General features: G+C 44.1%; 1 protein-coding gene across 45 annotated transcripts in view, besides 1 other annotated feature; it reads left to right on the plus strand.

Annotated features, from left to right (window-relative positions):
- FHOD3 (formin homology 2 domain containing 3) overlaps positions 1-19,512 on the plus strand; it is a 482,508-nt gene that overhangs the window by 175,116 nt on the left and 287,880 nt on the right. The window lies entirely within an intron of this gene.
- Positions 822-871: an enhancer, noted in NCBI's record as "active region_13237". NCBI's record gives its function as "activates an Ori minimal core promoter by ATAC-STARR-seq in GM12878 lymphoblastoid cells {active_cell/tissue: GM12878}" and the evidence as "EXISTENCE:reporter gene assay evidence [ECO:0000049][PMID:35858748]".

Raw genomic sequence — 19,512 nt, forward strand, 5'->3', positions numbered from 1 at the left:
GGTTGTTTCCACTTTTTGGCTATTATAACACTGCTGTGAACATTGAAGGGGCATAAAGAGCTGGAATTTGAACCACTGTGCTGTCTGCATGTGATTGTTGTGAGCACTTTGCATCCACTCCAAAGAGGTAGAATTTTACAACAGGTAAGATTCTACAACAGCTCCTTTGACATGACCAAAGCCCATCCTTAGCCTCCTTCATTTGAAGGCAAAACACAAGCCCAGTGAAATGAAATGAGATGTTTTAATCTTGGCTACTCCATGTGTGGTCCTTGGGCCAGCACCACCAGCTTCTCCTGGGAGCTTGTTAGAAATGCACCACCTGTCCGTAATCCCAGCACTTTGGGAGGCCGAGGCTGGCAGTCACCTGAGGTCAGGAGTTCGAGACCAGCCTGGCCAACATGGTGAAACCCTGTCTCTACTAAAAATACAAAAATTAGCTGAGTATGGTGGCACACGCCTGTGATCCCAGCTGCTCAGGAGGCTAAGGCAGGAGAATTGCTTGAACCCAGGAGGTGGAGGTTGCAGTGAGCCAAGATTGTGCCACTGCACTCCAGCCTGGGTGACAGAGTGAGACTCCATCTCAAACAAACAAACGAAATGCAGCACCTGAGACCTGCTGAATCAGAACCTACATTTGTCACCCAATTCCTGATCCCTGGGTGATGAGTTAACTCATTGAAGTTTGAGAACTGCTAGTGAGTCACACAGCTAGGGCTAGAGCCCTGATTCCCAATTTCAAGTTGAGGGGAATTTTTATTCCTCAGTATCACTTCTGAACATGTTCAGAATGCATTTTTCTATAAAATATTAATAACTTCCAATAACTTCCTCACTGCATCAAAACATGAGATATGGAGACACCAGCTTTTCCACACTGACTCAGTGTAAGAAAAGAAACTGAAAGGAAGATATTTTCACATCATCTTTCATCATTCTCAGAGTATGTTACTAAGCCTTCAGGTCCCCTGTGCCAGTTGTGCTTAATCTGCAACATTTCCATAGGAATATATCATTGGCTTTGAGAATGCCTTGGCAAAGGAGGCTTTTCACTCCTGAACACACTTTTTGGGAAGCATCCTTGGGTATTAGTAATATACTTGGAACCTGTTTGGGGAAACATATCTGATCCCAGCATTGCTGATCCCACATCCCACCCTTCCTGTAGGATATGCTCATATGGCAGTGACATCCAGGTTCTCTAAGTAGTTGATTCTTTTACTCCTGACTTTCTTCTTCCATTGACCTTGAACAGTTTAAGTTGGAATTTAGAAAACAACATTCCTTCTACTACTTATGCATCATAGAACAGTAAGAAGACCTGGAAGGGACTCAGATCCTTAAAGTATCTTGATTTGGGGTTGATGTTACAAACCAGGGACAAGTAGACTCCAAAAGATTTTCCTGTCCTTTTATTTTACTGACTCCTCCACCACGTGCACAGGAACATGGCTCTCTTCTTTTTGTCCCATAAGTTGGTTCAGTGCCTGCAGGAGGGATATGCGCATGATGGTGGCAGTATGGAATGGAAGGGAGAGAATAAGGATTTGGACATCAATGCTACATCTATAGATTTTGGCAAATACTTTAAAGATGGTTCTTGTCCTATCTGGCTTCTGTTTGGGCCATGCTCTAACAGTTGTGATGTTGAGTTTTTAGAGTTGGAGGCAAACTGCAAACTGAGGGCTAGAGCTGTTTCCCTGCAGCTGGAGGCTTAGAGCCTGGCAGTCCCTGGAATCAAAGGAGGGATCAGGAGGGCCGAAACTGGAAAGGTCCATATTTGAGGAGTGGTGGGATACAGAGTGAGGTAGGGTGGCGGCAAGCCTTGGAAACCCCACGGAAGAAACATGGGTGGCTAGGGTCTGGCTCAGTTGGTTCAACAACCACACCTCTTAGATCACCTTTGCGTTAGACTGATGCAGCCTGAGCTCCTGGGGCAGGAGCGGTTCACAGAGCCAAGAAGCCCCTTGGCCATGGCTGGGAGTAAATTCCTGAGGCCTGGGGCCCTCTGGCTGGAATGAGCCCTCTGGACTTTTGAAAGTTTGGCCGGTTTCCCTTTAAGCTGAAGTCAAAGCTGCCTGGGGTACAGGTGACTTTTCGCTAGTTTTGGGCTCAGCTAGTTTTCAGGGTCTTTTGAAGAGGTTGAAAATACACACATACACACACACACACACACACACACACACACACACACACACACACACACTCTGCAAAATTTAATGCCTTCTACTTGGAGAACAGAAGAGCTTGGACTATTTCTTTCTTGGCTTGTTTTATCTGTAAAGTGTTCTGACTTGCAGGACGAGAGGAAGGTTGTGCATTTCCTGGCAGTGTTACTGCCTACCCCAGAAGCCCACAGGTGGTTCATCTCCCCAGTCAGCCCAGATGTGGCTTTTCCCCTTGTTTTGATGGACTTGGGTGCTCACCTGTCTTTGGAGCTCTTAGCAGCTTGGTGTCACTCTAATGGCTAACCTACATGCAGAGATGGTGTCCTGAAGGACCCTGTAGTTTGGCTGCTGGCATTTTTGGCCATCCTGTGATTCCTTTGGAGATCTCCACCAGGGTTATTGTTTGCTGTGACTGCCATTCCTCACTGGCTGCTGTCTTTTTAAATAGGTAGTTCAAGCAGTCTGAATCTCCTCGTGGAGGGGTTGGGTGCGGGGTGGGAGGTGGGGTGTGGTGGTCAATAAACACAAAAGAAATTGAGAATTCTAATGGGAAGGACTTGCCATCAAAATCAAGACCAATAAAGCAATTTCTGAGAAACATTCCCTAAAATAATTAGGTACAGAAACTGTTACTCATGCTGCTTAGTTTAAATGTATATATGATGTTAATTTATTCATTTAACAAATAGAGCAATGTATACCAAAATCTATAGAGGTGGGATTACAGGAGACTTTTACTTCATATATAGAAACATACACACACACACACACACACACACACACACACACACACACACACGCATACATACATATATAATTGTAATTCTTTTTTTTTGTAAATTGCAGCATTTTTTCACAGTGCGAATGAATTGCTTTTGTAATCAAGAACAGCTACACATATAAACTAATGCTCTAGAAAATGTTATCTAAAACCTATGAGCTGTAAAAAATGTTGACAAAATGTACAATTACTAGGTATTTTAGGAAAAATATGACCCAAAGATTGGTCAAGAAATGTATTTTTAAAAGCATTTCACTAATATAGTGATTATTATTATATTGAATTTATGAAGCTTGTTCATTTGTTTACTCATTCATTCCATCAACCTATTACTCCTCTGCTGAGCCCTGTTTTTTGACAGGCACAGTGCTGAGTGCGTCCCAAGGATGCTGAAGTGCCCTGGTTGTGGTGCCTGGCCTCCCATGGCATATGGTTTTGCTGGCTGCGACAGCTCCTGTTCCGCTGGGTGCTGCTGTAAGGAGCGTCTCACAGGCTGTCAGAGGGCCTGAGAAGCAGGACCATCTTTCCCAGGGGCATGGAAGGTGATGCCAGCAGAAGGCAGGAAGGAATCTCTTTATTCTACCAACTTACATCCCTTGGCTACAGGGTTCAGGACTGTGGGATGGGGCCTGTTAGGCTGCACCAGGCGAGCTCCTCATGCCCACAGAGGGCAGGCAGGGCAGCAGAGTGAAAGAGTGAGCTGGGAGGCGGGGAAGGCATCCCATCACCCTAAGACCTGTGGGTGCAAGTTCTCTGTCTTTTGGCCCCCCATAGTCAGGAAAGGGCCGTAGGATACTCAGTGCTCATTATGTTGAAGTCAGCTCTTAAGCCAGTATGAGTCACTGAATCCTCACGATCAAAGGCAGTAATTTCATGTCGATTAGCTACTTCAAAGCAAGTCATGGGAAAAATTAGGAATCTGGAAGCAAATTGAATTATACATCAAAGGAAAGCAATCTCTTGACCTTTCTTCCTCCCCACATCAACTGTTCTTAAGTGTAAAGATCCAAACTGGGTATAGTCAATTCAGTGTGGGGGCATGAAGGTCAGTTAAGCCAAGGGACTCTTTGAGCACTTTCTTTACCAAGGAATGTTCTTGGAGCTGCTGGAATATGGAAGAAGCATAGGATGAAGATCTTGTCAGAAAAGTACTAACCATGAATTGAGGAAGTAAGACCTGCACACAGTAAGACTGCCATACAGTGTCATAAATAAATGGGGTGATACAACTTGGTGTGCTGTGAGACCTGCAAGAGGAGGAAGACCATGTGGGCAGGAGTTATCTGGTGAGGGTGGATTTCATGGCAGGTCCTTGAAGGTGTGTCCAGTTTGGAGAGATAAGGAGGAGGACAGGGACATCCAGGAGAAGGTGAGGAAGGAGGTGACCTGTGGGGTGTGCACAAGGGTGGTCAGACCTGTCTCCTTAGTTGGGGCAGGAGGGAGATGAGGTTGGGATGGTGCAGTTCCTGAAGCTGGATGGAAGCATTTAGACTGGGGCAGGAAACAGAGTCAATGATGGTTTATAAAGTGGGGATAATCTGATGAAACAAATATTAGGGATTAGCTTGGTATTGAATATTAATCACTTTTCATTGAATCTTAGGCTTAAAGCTCAAGGGAAGATAACTGAGACCCAAGAAGTCAAGTGACTTTTCCTGTGACAGGGAAATAGCCAAAATGTGTGTGTGTATATAAATCCACTCACCCACCCATCCATCCATCCATCCATCCATCCATCCATCCATCCATCCACCCACCCACCCACCCACCTACCTACCTACCTACCTACCTACCTACCTACCTACCTACCTACCTACCTACCTATCTACCTATCTATCTATATCTATTTATCATCTCACCAGTCTCTGGAAAAATACATGGAATAATAAAAGGAATGTACTAGGACTAGGTACTGTACCAGGTGTTAATGGGAGACATAAAAGTACAAGTCTTAAATCCCTGATAGCCCTGAGATGCTACAATCCAATTAAAGGTACAAATGTATGACAAGTGGGCAACACAGAGACAGTGAGCTCACTTGGCAGGGTGTGGTTCTTGGCACAGGAAGTAAGGGAGCAAAGATGGCAGAGTCTCTGGACTGGGATGGTCAGGGAAGACGAAGAACCACGGCATGCAGTGCTGAAAGGACTGCAGAGATGTCCTGGCCCAACATGTGCACTCCATGCCTCTCAACAGGTGGGCAGGATTTTGACAGACTGAAAGAACAGAGCTCTGGAAAGAGAGGCAGGAGGCCCCAGGAGACAAAACATGACAACTTAGATAGCAGGGTCTGTTCAGGTGGCAGCGAATGATGGTAGTGGGGGTGTCATTTGAGCAGAGGGTTCTGAAAGGTGAGCAGTAATTGGTTGTTGTAATGCTTGGGTGTTAATGAGATATTTAAAGGTTTTTAATGCTACTTTTCTGTCACCTGTGATGTTGGCAAAATACCTTAATCCAGGCCATTGTCACATCTTTTTTTGATGAATGTAGCACTTTTAAAATAATTTTTAAGTTTTGTGAGTACACAGTAGGGGTATATATTTATGGGATATACATGCGATATTTTGATACAGGCATAATCACATCATGGTAAATGGGGTATCTATCACCTCAACCATCTATTCTTTGTGTTACAAACAATCCAATCATACTCTTCTAGTTATTTTTAAATATACAATTATTATTGACTATAGTCCCCTTGTTGTGCTATCAAATACTAGCTCTTACTCATTCTTTCTATTTTTTTTGTACCCATTAACCATCCCCACTCCCTCTGCCAATGTAGCCTCTTCTTAAACAGGTCTGCCTCCTTCTGTCCACTTTACAGATATTTATCAAGGACCTTGAATCCCTCCAAATGACCTCCACATTGAATGTAGCCAGAGTGATTGTTCTAAAAGGTACATTGGATTGTATCCCACTTCTCTACTTAAAACTGCTTGGTGGCTTTCGGTTACATTTATCTTCTCTTCTCCTTTTTGTTACCCATTAGTCCCAGCCAAGTTACTCCTGGTAATCTTCCACACTTAACTCTTGCTACCTACCCCAATCCTCCCCACCTCCACCCCCTGACTCCTTCAAACTATTGAAGATACTTTGTTATTCTGATCTTCTAGACTAAGACTTGAGTTCTTATTTTCTTCTCCCCTCACCCAAAGTATAAATATCAAAGAGAGGATTCTAAATATACCTTATACAACGTATAAAAAGACAAGATTTGATGGACTTTTATCAACTTCAGATAGTCAAGTGCAAATAACAAGCATGCCAGGTTCTTTTGCATCTCTTCGCTTCCTGCGTGTCCCTTTCCAGTGGCCATTGCTGTGTGTCTTTGTTTTGTTCAGTTGTTCACATGTATTACAGATAAAGTAGGTAACCTCTGTTTTACAGAGATGGGAATGAGCCACATGCATAAATTAATTCTCAAGAAAATGAAAGATTATGCCTTAAATGTGAAAAAATTTAAAGAAGTTTATCTGATTTGGGTGTAAGTCTGACAGGTACTATACATTGCCTTTTTGTTTGTTAAAGGACACTGAACCTATTCATAATATAACCCTTCCTGTGTCATCATAATAAACCCGGGTCCCGGAGTGAGCTGCAATACAGTGGAGCTGTCATCCTTTTTGCCCAGTGATCACTTGTCCAGATTTCCTTGCTTGCTTAATATTAAGTGTGTAGCCATCTATGTTGGTAGTGTCATAAGTTTACAGCTTTTGAAAATTTCTGCCACATTGTAATTGCCTTGCATCTGTCCTAACAGTAGCATGTAAGGAACATTCAGTTGCTCAGGGCCATTTTAGGAATGTGTACTATAAAGTATATATATATATATATTCCAAATGAATGTATTAATATATGATGAATATGAATAGCCATTATTCTTAGACATATATTAAGAACTCTTTGACTATATAGCGTGAATATATTAGATATATTTCTTTGTTTGGAAAGAGCTTAGGAGGGAATGTCTGTAATCAGTAGATCCATAAATGTGTAAAATGGACTGACGAGTCTCATTCCGCTTTACCCTCCATGCTACTGCCCAGGTAGGCTGGCACTGATGCCCTGCCACGCATTTTCCCTGAGAAAAGGGTCCACTCTTCCTGCAACCTATTCTTCCCACAGTTCTTCCTCAGCTGCAGCTTCAGGGGGCAGAATCAGAAGCAAATTAACCATTTCTAAATACTGGCCACCCAGAACTAGGCAGAACTAGCTGTTAAAACAATTACAGCCAGCCAAATTGTTAAGATTTTGTAAATTGTAAAGAGAAACAAATTAATTCTGCAAACTGGGTTTAAGCAAATGTACTTTCTGTAAACTCGCCTGCTTCTATGCAGTGGCACCTTGATAGCCCCGTATAAGACGGTTTATCCCTTAGCCTCAGCCAGTTCTGAGGTCCGGTGTCCACATACCTTTTCCTCCTCAGTGCTGCTCCAGGGGCCCCTACTGTGCCCATCCCACACCTTGCCTCGTCCACTGCTTTTCATTTGCTGTGTTGGAGCATCTGTTCCCCAGGCACATTAGAATCATGGAAAAATTACATTTAAATCTGTACAGAAATATTTGCACACATACAGGGAGATGGTCATTGTCCAATATCCATCTAAAGTTTCGCTAGCGGGAAATTGGGGTTAGCTGAAATGTCTACCCAGAAGAGGGAAAGTGAACTCAATTTCAGTCCTTCTGACCTAGGAACATGCAGCACGAGGCTCTTGCCTACACCTTCAAGGGCATTATTGACATTGACAAATATTTTAGTTATTCAAAGGCCTTTTCCATTTACAGTTTTTTAAGCTTTGTTCTGGAGGTTTGCAGTTTCTGTAAGGCTCTAGAAACGTAGGAGAGTAACTTTAGTCATATTGCCCACTGTTGTCACTAAGATATTATGTACAAAACTAATTGTAGCAGGTAAATAGCATTTCGTCCTTAATTTGTTCTTTGTAGCAGCCTGGTGCAGTAGAATAGACCAACCTCCATATTAGTAAATGATTTGTATTGCATGTTCATTGGCAGGCTTCAGTAATGATCTCAATTAAGGTTCATCACCACATCATGAGTTGCCTCCACATTCTTCTTGCTTTTGTCTCCAAATGGGGATTCCAGCAGTTTTTCCCTTGCCTTGAGCACTTCCTTCTTCATGGCATTAGGAAAGCATTCATGTTCTCTGGAAACTCAGGCCATTTCCAACCACAGTTTTTTTATGCAGTGCTGTAGGCCAGGCTGGGCATATTGGGAGGTGGTTTTTTTTTTTTTTTTTTTTTTGCGTTTAAAGAGCATAACTCATTTTTTAAAAAGCTTATAAGGCATTCTCCAGCTGGTGTTGGAAATAAACCTTAATTTCCCTCAGCTTTTCTCTTTCACTGAAGGAGAAAAGCAACAGGACTGAAGGAAGGAGGGGAGCGGTGGAGTCATTGTTGCTTTCTGTGTTTGTTCTTTGCATCTCTTTTCTTAGTAAATTGCCTCAGGAATTTCTGCAGGCGGCTATAATCTACTCTTGAAAGGCCTCCTTTTGGACCAAGCTCTTCAAGTGAGCCAAAACTCTCCCTAAGACTGCAGGGTTTGGGAGAAGACAATGAAAAGAAAGGGAGTATTACCATATGGTCCTTCTAGTGGGATTGCAAAATTTCCTTAAGTTGCTGTAAAGTGGGGGCTGGGGAAAAGGCAGACAACTTTTTTTTTTTTTTCAGGATAGCAGTCACCACCCTCCCTTCTTCCCACTTTCTCTTTTCACCCCCTCCCCACCCAAGTTGGTTGCAACAGAGCTTTCTTACATGGTTCTGAAAACGGGGACATTTGGGTTCCGTTGGTACCATGGACAGATACCACGCAGACATTTTTCTCTCTTGGTATTTTGAGATAGTGTCTCACCTTGAAATAAACAAAATACAAATGACAAAAATTTGACTTTTATTACCATGGGAATTAATGTTGGAAGCAGGCTAAACACAATTTTTGTATAAACTGTCAAAGACAAAGGTATTTTTCTCTCATGGCTGACATTTTAAAAGACATTCCTTTGCCTCCTACCCATTTAAAAAAAAAAGTCTTTGCACTATTGAATCAGAGGCAGTCTTTCTGAAACTGTGACTTCTGCTGTTAATCTAGTTGAAAGTGAGAACAAATTAATTCATGTTTCCTCAACTCCGAACAGTGATGTAAAGGGAGCTTGTTATGGGTTAGAGTTTTAAGGAATTAGGCAGAAGGTATGTATGTCTGACACCTTATGTCTTAAAGATCCTGAAAATTATTTCAAGCTCTCAAATTATAAAAAAAAGAAGGTGGTGGAAACAGACTTCAAATACCCTATTCATAAGATAAGAGGAAGAGGGAAGGAGGGGGAGGGTACTGGTTCTTTCATTCACCCTACCTATTATGTGTCAGTCACTGTTTAAGGTCTTGGGGATACAGCAGTGTGTAAAGCAGACACAAATCCCTGTTTTTATGGAGCCTACATTTCAGTGGGGGAGACAGCACATAAGGTAAATCAGTAAAATACATAGTGTGATAATGATAAGTGCTATGAGAGAAAAACAGACACGTGCTTCTGAAAGAAGAGTATATTTGGGTGCACGTCTGAGATTTTAGATAGCCAGGGAAGTCTCACCCAGAAGGATCTGGAGGATCAGGGTTATATGAGGACAAGGGGAGAAGCAGGGTGACCACTGCGTGACCCCCCCGCCCCGCAAGGCATGATTGCTTAGGCCAGAAGTGTACCAGGGCAGTAGTAAGAAAGGGTTGGATGTGGGATTCCTTGCCAGATGAGACTGGGAGTATAGTAGGGAGAGGCAAGAAGGCTGGCGACAGGGTTCTACCCTGAGCAACTGATGCAGACCCCGTGGTTCCTCTGCTGTGGGTCTCCAAAGCAGAGTCACCAGGACTTTTTGGTTTGTCCTGTCTTATACTTTGTGTAATTGCTTTCACACTAGTTTGCAAACTCCCTGAGAGCAAGTCTTTTATCTTTCTTTCACACTTCATGGAGTCCAATAAATGTTTGTTTGACTTGAATGGAATTGAGTCTATTCCGAGATCATCCGGTGAACAAACACACACACACACACACACACACTCACACACACACAGAGAGAGAGAGAGAGAGAGAGAGAGAGAGAGAGAGAACGAGAACATTGTAGACTACCTGCCAGGTTTACAATGCATGACTCAACTGCAGTTAAAAATGATAGCCAAGGGCCATGATGAAATCTTTTCTGAGCCAGCCAGACCCATGCCTGTGTGGGCTCAGAATAGTGGGAAGAGAGATGGAACTTCACTTCAAATGCAGCTCCAAGGCTCCCCATCCTGGCTCTGGAGCAGCCAGGAAGACTGCTTTGTGAGTGGGAGGATTGGAAGAATTTGGGATTTTGGGGAATTTTGCCAGATGGTTTGACCTCTGGTGTTTGAAGGCCAGTCACAAAGATTCTACTTTGTAACTTAATCTGGAAGTGACCCAGGTCTTATGGTATGTCCTGAGCCCAGGACTAAGCCAGCAGAAAAGTGTGGCTGATGGAGAGGCAGGAGCAGTGTTGGTTGGCACTGACAGATGGACGGCAAAGCTCCCAGGCACAGTCGGGCTCAGCCAGATGCTCCACTCAGCACAGCCAACCACTGTCCTGGAACCAAGGAGGGAAAGGAGAAGAAGTGGTACTAAGATCCCACCCACTCTTTACTCTTGCTAGCCCAGTATCTTTTTGTGTATTGCTGTCTATTACTTTATCCATCTACTGAGTATTGAAGAACGTGTATATGTCAGAGGAGTCTGCACTCCACTGGCTCTTTATGTTTTATTCCAAGGTGAACAAAACCATAATTAATGCTAGTAAAACACATTACCAAGTATTTTCACATGAACAGGGTAGGTTTTATATTAACCCATTTTTCATATGAAGAACTGGTACAGAGATTGTCATTAAAGGGTGGATGTATGTGCCTCTGCAACCTTTCTGGCCAATGACATATCTTGAATGTCATACATTTCGCCATCGGAGAAGCATTTTGTCATCTCTGATGCTGGTTAATGAGCCCTCTGGAGCAGATGTCGATAGCAGGATTAGAAGCACATGTAATAGCCACTCCTGGCATGGACTCCTTCACATTCAAACTGGCCACCTCTTCAAGCACTGCAGGTGTTAACTACATGCCCCGAGGTCAGTGGTTCTCTGAGCATCCTCCCAGGACCATTCACCAGCTGTGGGGACACCAACTGTGAGTCTGGTAGAAATGCGGAATCCCAGGCCCTACCCCAGATCTGCTGAAGCTAAATCTGTTCTTGTCAAGTTCCCCAGGTGATTGCTGTGCACATTCAAGTGTGAGACGATTAAAGATATCACATACATCAACTATTGTATTTCTGCTAGACTATTTAAAAATCCTATGTGACAGTCCCAGCTGTGGATAATTCTTAGCTGTGAGGGCTCCTTCATATAGGCAACCTGTGCCACTTGTTGCTTCCCTTTTGTTGACTTCTTGACATCTTTTTCTGTTCAATTGTCTAGTTCTTTTAATATATGTCTCAGAAAATGTGTAGCCTGAACCTCCGATGACCTGCTTTGCAATTGAAGGTAGGATGTGCGTGGACTCCTATGTCTCTCCCATGCCACATACCAGACTGGCCAGGGAGGAGCTGCTCTTGAAATTCCTTTTTGGTTCATGGAGATGCTAAAGGTGCTTCTCTGACTTAGGCTGACTTTGCTTAAATATTCTCTAAATATGGTATTAACTGGTGAAATAATACTAAAAATCTAGTAGCCTTAAGTCTCAATGAGAATATAAAAACAGGCCTCCTCATAATTTTCAGACTAGGAAAAAACAAAACTCTGCTTCCTTGCAAAGCAACAGTTTGGGTGCTTGGTTTAGTCCTAATGGCACCTTTCTCTGCAGTCGATGTTTGAGGGAGCCTCTAAGTATGGTATAATGACGGGTGTGCATGTCTCTTCCTGAGGCCATATGTAGACACAGGAAAAGCTCCAGCCCCCCAGGGGGTGTGGTGAAGGCTGGGGCCCTGCTGTCGGACCACAAAGATTACTGAGGACATTTTCCATGCCTGTGGCTCTGGTGTGTGTGGAGGAAGGGGAAGCCTAAGGGAGAACTCACTGGGGCAGTGAAGGCACTGTCCCGGCTGGCTTCCTGTTCCTGGTCTGTTACTGTGCCCCCCACCCTCAGGGTTCTGCAGCTGAATTGCCACCAAGATTGTGGCCCACACAGAGGGTGTGGTCGAGCCAACTTCATTCCCGGTGATCACGTGCTTCTATCTGCTCTACAATGATCTGGGAAGGAGTTGGGGTGTGGGGGCTGCCACTTGAGCATTTGGGGGTGGATGGGTGGTAGGTCTTCACAGCCAACAAGAACTTCATCTCTTGTGAATGTATCTTAAGTTCCCCTTTCCCCACCCATATGTCCTGGCTCTTATCATGTACCAGTCAGAGGTTGGTTCACATTCTCTGCCTGAAATAGTTCCACCAGCGATGAGCCTGCTGGGATCCATGGTGATCATGGTGTTAGAATGGTATGCTCTTTTCCTTGTCTTCTCCTGTCAGTGGCCTGTGGTTGCGAGTCTTTCTTGCAAAGGCTCCCTTGGCTTAGACCTCAGTGTGAATTGATGAAGCCACTCAGAAAGGGAGGGAGGGAGAGTGAGCATGGTGTGCCAGCAAGCCTGTGAGCATGCGCCCACCCATAGGGCCTGTGGTGGTTTCTCTTAGCAGCTCCCAGTCCCTGCTCCCCACCATTCTGTGAAAGTCCAGGGGCTGCCCCAGCAGTTTTCTCTGTGAACTGACTCAGATGAGACAAGTAGACCCCAATGAAGTACCAGTGGAGCTTGTGAGAAGAGCGCCCTTGGTGTTCTTCCTTTTAGTGACAAGTGGCATTATCATGTCAAGACACCACATGCTAGGTGAACCTGAAACCTAGCACAGAGCATGATACATAATGGACAACATCGTGTTGGTTGAGGAAACATCAGGAAAGCATTGCTCAGCCAACCTACCATGAGGGTGATTATTAACTATTCCAGAAGTCAGCCTGTGTCTCTTGCAGAGGAAAGAAATGGTGCTGCCCATCATAGGACCACAAAGGTTCCCAGCAATGCCAGGCTGTCTCACTCTTTGGTGTCTACTGTATGTGTTCCCTCAGCCTGGAAAACTGCACCTGCCTTTATTCACGTGAATTACTGACTCATTTCCCCAGAGTTTACCCAAATGACTAGGGCCCTCCTCTGTTCCATCACTTCCTGCATTAGGCTGCACATATCTACCTGGGACTCTGTCTTTCCTGTTAGACTCTAAGTTCCTCAACACCACCACATTTTTTGCTCATCTTTGTATACTTAGCAGCTGGTAGTGAACACAACAGAACTTCCTCCATTTTCCCATTGGCCACTAAATGGCTGCCGAGTGCAACACTGGCTCTCTCCTGGATGGTTCTGTCTACATCCACCACTTTGGCCCCAACTGGCTTCTCCTCTCCCAGTCACAACATATGGGGGCTACACTTGGTGTTCAGTTTCTGTGTCACCAGCTCACATTATCTGTACTCTATCTCAATGCATTCATGGTCAGTAATGATTTTTGTGTTGCTTTATATTCATAGGATGTTCTTGTTTTTGTTTCTTGAAACAGGGTCTTGCTCTGTCTCCCAGCCTGGAGTGCAGTAGCACGATTATAGCTTACTGCAGCCTCAATCTCCTGGGCTCAAGCCATTCTCCCAACTCAACCTCCTGAGTAGCTGGGACTAAAGGTGTGTGCCACTGCCCCCAGCCCAAAGGATGTTTTATAGTGATCTAAGTTTATATAACATCTTATGGATGGTATTATCTAGAAAGGAAACAAGTTATTTAAGGTCAATATTTAAGAGTTAGAACTAAAACTGAATTGTAGATCCTCTAGAATCAACCTTCCTTTTCTTTATCAACCTTATTGACGAGTAATTCACATGCAATAAAATGCACACATTTTAAATCCAGTTCACCTTTTGACAACTATATCTCAAACAAGACAAAAAATATTTTCCCATAGTTTCCTTCATGTATTTTCCCTATCAATCTCCGCTATTCCCAATCCAGGCAAGCACTGGTCTGCTTTGTCACTATAGATCAGATTTGTCTTTTCTGAAACTTTATGTGAATGGAATCATACAGTATCTGGTATTTTGTGTCTGGCTTATTTCATTTAGCATAATATTGTTAGAATTCATCTAGGCTGCATGCGTCAGTAGTCTATATTGCTGATTAGTGCACCCTTGTATAATGTACCACAGTTTATCTGTTTGCCAACTGATGGACAGTTGAGTTGTTTCCAGTAGGGTGTTTTTAAAAATCATTCTGAGTAAAGCTTCTATGAACCTTGGTGAAATGTTTTTATGTGTGTAAATTTTCATTTTCCTTGGGGAAAGTCCTAGAAATAGAATTGCTGGGTTGAACAGTAGGTGTATATTTCAGTTGATAAGCAACTATCAAACTGCTTTCTAGAGAGGTTGCAGCATCTCACATCCCACCAGCAGAGCGTCAGGTTCCAGTTGTTCCAGGTTCTCCATAAGCTTATATGACCATTCTTTTTATGGTTAGCCATTCTAACATTGTAACATGCAAAACGTAGCCAAGAGATATTAAAGTTCTTGCCTAAAAGCACACAGGCAGTAAGTGCCTGAGCTGTGGTCACCCTGCTGGGCCCCTGAGCCTGTTGCTGGTTGTCCTCCCACTGCATCCTGCCCACTTCTCTGTATGGACCCTTCTGTAACTGTGTTATTCCATGGGAGATGACAGAGGGAAATGGTCAGTTTCATCAGGAAATATACTCTGATTAGGTATTAGGCTCAGAAATATTTATTTAGCTGAGGTTCTAACCCCAGGTTCTCTTTCTCTTTTCTGCAATTGAAGTCTGGCAGAACTTTGAAGCTATATCCACATTGTTTCTTAGTGAGGTTCTCAAATGTGTTGGACTCACCCAGCTGTCACAACAAAGGGGAAGAGACCTTATGTTTGGTATTTTGCATTTTTTTGTTTTCACTGAGACAACTTGCTGGAACTGCATGGCACTCTTGGCTTAGCCCTCCTTACCAGAGGACACACAGCCTGGAAATAAATACAGAGGAAAGTGTCAGGAGGCCACGGAGGATCCACACACAGCTTGTCCGTTTAATGTGTACAAACCTTAGGCTAGGTGTGAATTTGTTATGAGACAAAACCAGTATTTAAGCTGTACTGAACTTGTAAAAATGCCAGTATATATTATTTTACTGTTGTTCTTCTGTTCCCCATTCATTACTGAATAAACTCCCATCAAAACAGTTGTTTTAAATATCCATTCTTTTTTCTGATGCAATTTTCTTTGCTTTATGTGATACTTGCCATAGATTTGTGGCTGTTTCCATCTTGAAGAATACTTAAAGGAAGAACCCTGGCCCCATGGGTTGGGGCAGGTGAACTGCTGAGTTTTATCATCTCTGCACAGTGACATGATTGATGCTGGGTTGTTCCCTTTTGACCCCAGCTAATGATCCTTAACTTCTCTCCAAGGAGTAGATACTCATTTCTTTTTTCTCAAAGTGTTTAGGGCAGAGAGGGTGAACATCTTCCCTATCAACTGGCATTGACCCCGGGAAGGAAGAGGCAATCTCTTTGGGGGAGTGATTGTGCTTTGGAGAGAGACCCCCAGGGCCCAGCTGGGGCCTGTCTGAGCTCAGGGGACCGTCTCACCACCTGGTTAGGAAGACCTGACAGATGACAGGAGGCATCTTATAGCCCTGAGTGCAGTGCCCAGGAAAGGACTGGACTATTCACTGTATGGAGGACATTAGGTATTTTTTAGAAATGTCATTGAGGCCTTAGGGGCTGGAGAGAGAAAGAAAAGTAGTCTTTACTGAGTATCTAGCTTGTGCCAGGTGTGTTTCCAACATGATCATGTTCATCATCACATGGCTTCAGGATGTTGGAATGTGTATTTTAAATCCTGTTTTACTGATCAGAAAACTTAGGTGCAGAGAGGAATTTCCTCTGAAATGCAAATATGGATTTAGGAGTCTGGATGGTGGTATTGTCCAAGGCCATGGCACAGTGGTGCCTGAAATCAAAGTGCAAAGCAGGCACAGGTACAGTGTCAGGATGAGGACTTTGACAGCTGGTGCCATAGATGAAGTAGAGAAAATGGCCCCCAAGAGCAGGTGGGAGACAGGTTCAGGAGCCGAGGGTGGCAGGTTCTTTGAGCTGAGACTGGAGAATGGGGTGCTTAGCAGAGGCCAACACTAGGTCAGTCCTGGCTGCAGTGGGTGCCTCCATAAGAGGGCTAAGTAGTTTTTGCTGTGTGGGGCTGGCTGGGTGGTATGTGGTTGTGGTTTCCAGCCCTTGAGCTAGGGTGGTTTTTGTCTCCTAAATGTTCTCCCCAGAGAGGTGGACCTCACACCCAACTGGAAGGGATGGTTTCCTGTGGATGCTACCAGGAGCCCTGGATGCTTCCAGAAGAGTGAGAGAGAATGGGTTTGTTTGTTTGTTTAGGAAGCCTCCTTTCTTTTTGTGCCCTGCCAGTAGGGGGGTGAGTAGGGCCAGCTGCAGGGCAGTGACAGCCATTGTGCCATGGCCATCTCAGGAGAGGGATGCCCTGTTCACAAGCAAAACCAACTCGGGTGCGTGTTCTTCGTTGTTTTTAAAAGAGAACCAGGATGGGTGCAGTGGCTCACTCCTGTAATCACAACACAAGCCAAGTGGTTTGAGAGCAGCCTGGCAACGTAACGATATCCTGTCTCTACAAAAAATTTAAAAATTAGCCAGGCATGGTGGTAGACACCTGTGGTCCCAGCTACTTGGGACGCTAAGGTGGGAGGGTCACTTGAGCCTGGGAGGTGGAGGCTGCAGTGAGCCATGTTCATACTCCCACACTCCAGCCTGGGTGACAGAGTGAGACCCTGTCTCAAAAAATAAATAATGTTAAAAATAGAACTAGAAAAAGGAATACGTGAGTCTTGAGAAAATATGTAATTCAAATATTTCAACTTAATTTGGAAATTAAGAAAAAGAATTATGAAAGTCCATCACTAAAGAAAATACCTTAAGGTTCTCCAGATCCCTAATTATGGGAAAAGAGAACGTAGAAAGAAAGAGAGGGAGAAGGGAGGAGGGCGGTTGGCCAAGCTATTTTCAGGGCCCAGAGAGACAGCCCTGAGATAGAGACTGAAGAGAGAGGCCAGAAGTAAGTCCCTGGTCACCTGTTTTTCACACTGCTGGCTGCCTCGGGGCAGTTGTACTGCGTTTGAGATGCCACTCATCTGCTTACCTAGGTCAGCAGCCTTTTTAGAGGAACAGCATCACGGTGCTGCCTCCTCCGGGCACCTGTACACAGATCTTCCATGGCTTGGGTGAGCAGTTCAACCTCTCCGCAGAGGGAGGTCTCTGAGGACCCTTTACTCTCTACCATTCTTTGATTCTGGGAGGGAAAATGGCAGGTTTGAAACAGCATTTTGATCTATTAAGTGGCCTTCATCAGCTGACTTGGGCCATTTTGCTTCCACAAAGGGACAATTTTGGAAATGCAAAGATGGGAGCAAATGGACGTGGACTTTGCTGGGGCCCCAAAGCTGACTCATTCCCTCCAATTCAGAGGGAAAAATAGTGTCCTATGAACTAATTCAGAATAGAGGTATAAATGGCTTTGCTTGGGCTTTCCTCCTCAGTAAAGATGAGGATGGGGCCAGTGGGTCCCAAGGTAACCAGACCAAATGGGTGTGGAACTGGGTGGGGCTCAGCAGATGGTAATGACAGGCAAGCAACCACATACATAATTTTATGACTTAAAGTCTTTTGCAGCCTCTTGGTGAATAGCTCTTTGAAGGCCATTTGCCTCCTGCAATAAGTGGGGAGGGCTCCTTCATTTGACACCTTTCTGGGTTTCAGCTCCTGCAATACTGGGCTGTCCTCTTTGTTGACAAATCATCATCTCCGCCAACTGTAAGCTTCCTGAAAACTAGTGCTCTGCCCCATGCATCATTTTACTCTCCCATTTGGCATAGCCCTTGTTGCAGAATGAATGGTCAGTGATTGTTTGAAAGAAGGAAAGACAGGAGGAGTTAGGATTGCCTGCTGAAGGTAACAAAGAAGCATCTGGAACATCCAGTGTCCTAAAAATTACTTGTACCCTTCCCTTTAGGAACTCAGAGTAGATACAGATGTGTCTGAAGCTCATCTATGGAATCCCGGGTTAACTCACGCCTTAGAACACATACACTTGCCCATCAGCATGAACACCAGGCACCTACCCCAGCCAGACACTGCCAGGGGCTGGAGGGAAACCACTGTGGATGAGAGCTGGCCCTGGTGTGGGGAGATCACAGAAGTGTGCATGGACAGATAAGCGATGATTCATGGCAGAAAATGCCAAATCCCAGGCCTGGGGCTGCATGTGTTTGCGGAAGGGGTTGTAAAGAGTTGTGCCCTCCATGAGCCTGGGGACTCTCCCACTTCCTGTAGGCTTGCCTTTGGATATAATTTTTTAAGCAGACTTCATTTTGGGAAAGAGTAGTTTAAATTTTACAGAAAAAAATATTGGGCAAAAATTTGTTCCCATATACCCCCTCAACCTTCTCCAATTTCCCATTAGTAACATCTTGCATGAATGTGATACATTTGTTATAACTGATAAACCAATATTGGCAGATAGTTATTAAGTGCAGTCCATACTTTACATTAAGGTTCACTCTTTATGGTGTATATTCTATGGGTTTTGACAAATGTATAATGGTACTATCCACCATTACAGTATCATACAGAATAAGAGTTTCACTGCCCGAACAATCCCCTGTGGACCATTTGTTCATCCTTCCCTCCCTCCTCCAAACCCCAGGCAACCACTGATCTTTTTACAGTCTCCACGGTTATGCTACTTACAGAATGTCATGGAGTTCACTATGTATGTGTAGTATGTAGCCTTTTTCAGACTGGCTTCTTTCACTTTTTAGAGGAACAGCATCACGGTGCTGCCTCCTCCGGGCACCTGTACACAGATCTTCCCATATACATTTAAGTTTCTTCTGTGTCTTTTTGTGGCTTGACAGCTCATTTCTTTTTATTGCTGAATAATAAACACTCCATTGTATGGATGTTACTAGTTTGTGTATCCTTACCTTCTATGGGTGGGGGACATCTTGGATGCTTTGAAGTTTTAGCCATTATGAATATGGATATGATTTTCACATCTTCTGTGAAAGTATGGCCAAATAAACATGGTAGAGTAGGGCTATGTATTTGGCCCATTTACAGAAAGCAAGACTCCAGAATGTTCTTGGGTTTAGCTAACCTGTAAAGCTGTGACCAGGCCAGATGTTGAGGGAATTAGGAATCTGGATGATATCTGATCCTCCCGTGTTCTTTCCAGTCCTCCACGTGGTCTTAAAAATTAAATCATTTATTGACATATTAGATGCTGGGGACACTATTTTCTCTTCCTCAGTTTCCCTCTTTGCACAGCATTTCTCACTGTGGTTCATTTTGTTCCATGTCACCTCATCTGAACCTCCACTCTCCATCCCCAGGCTCACAGGTTCTGCCACTCCTTCCTCTGGGAACCCTTAGTGTTACCATCACCTTCT

The sequence above is a fragment of the Homo sapiens genome, chromosome 18 (genome assembly GCF_000001405.40).
Source record: "Homo sapiens chromosome 18, GRCh38.p14 Primary Assembly".
Lineage (NCBI taxonomy): Eukaryota > Metazoa > Chordata > Mammalia > Primates > Hominidae > Homo > Homo sapiens.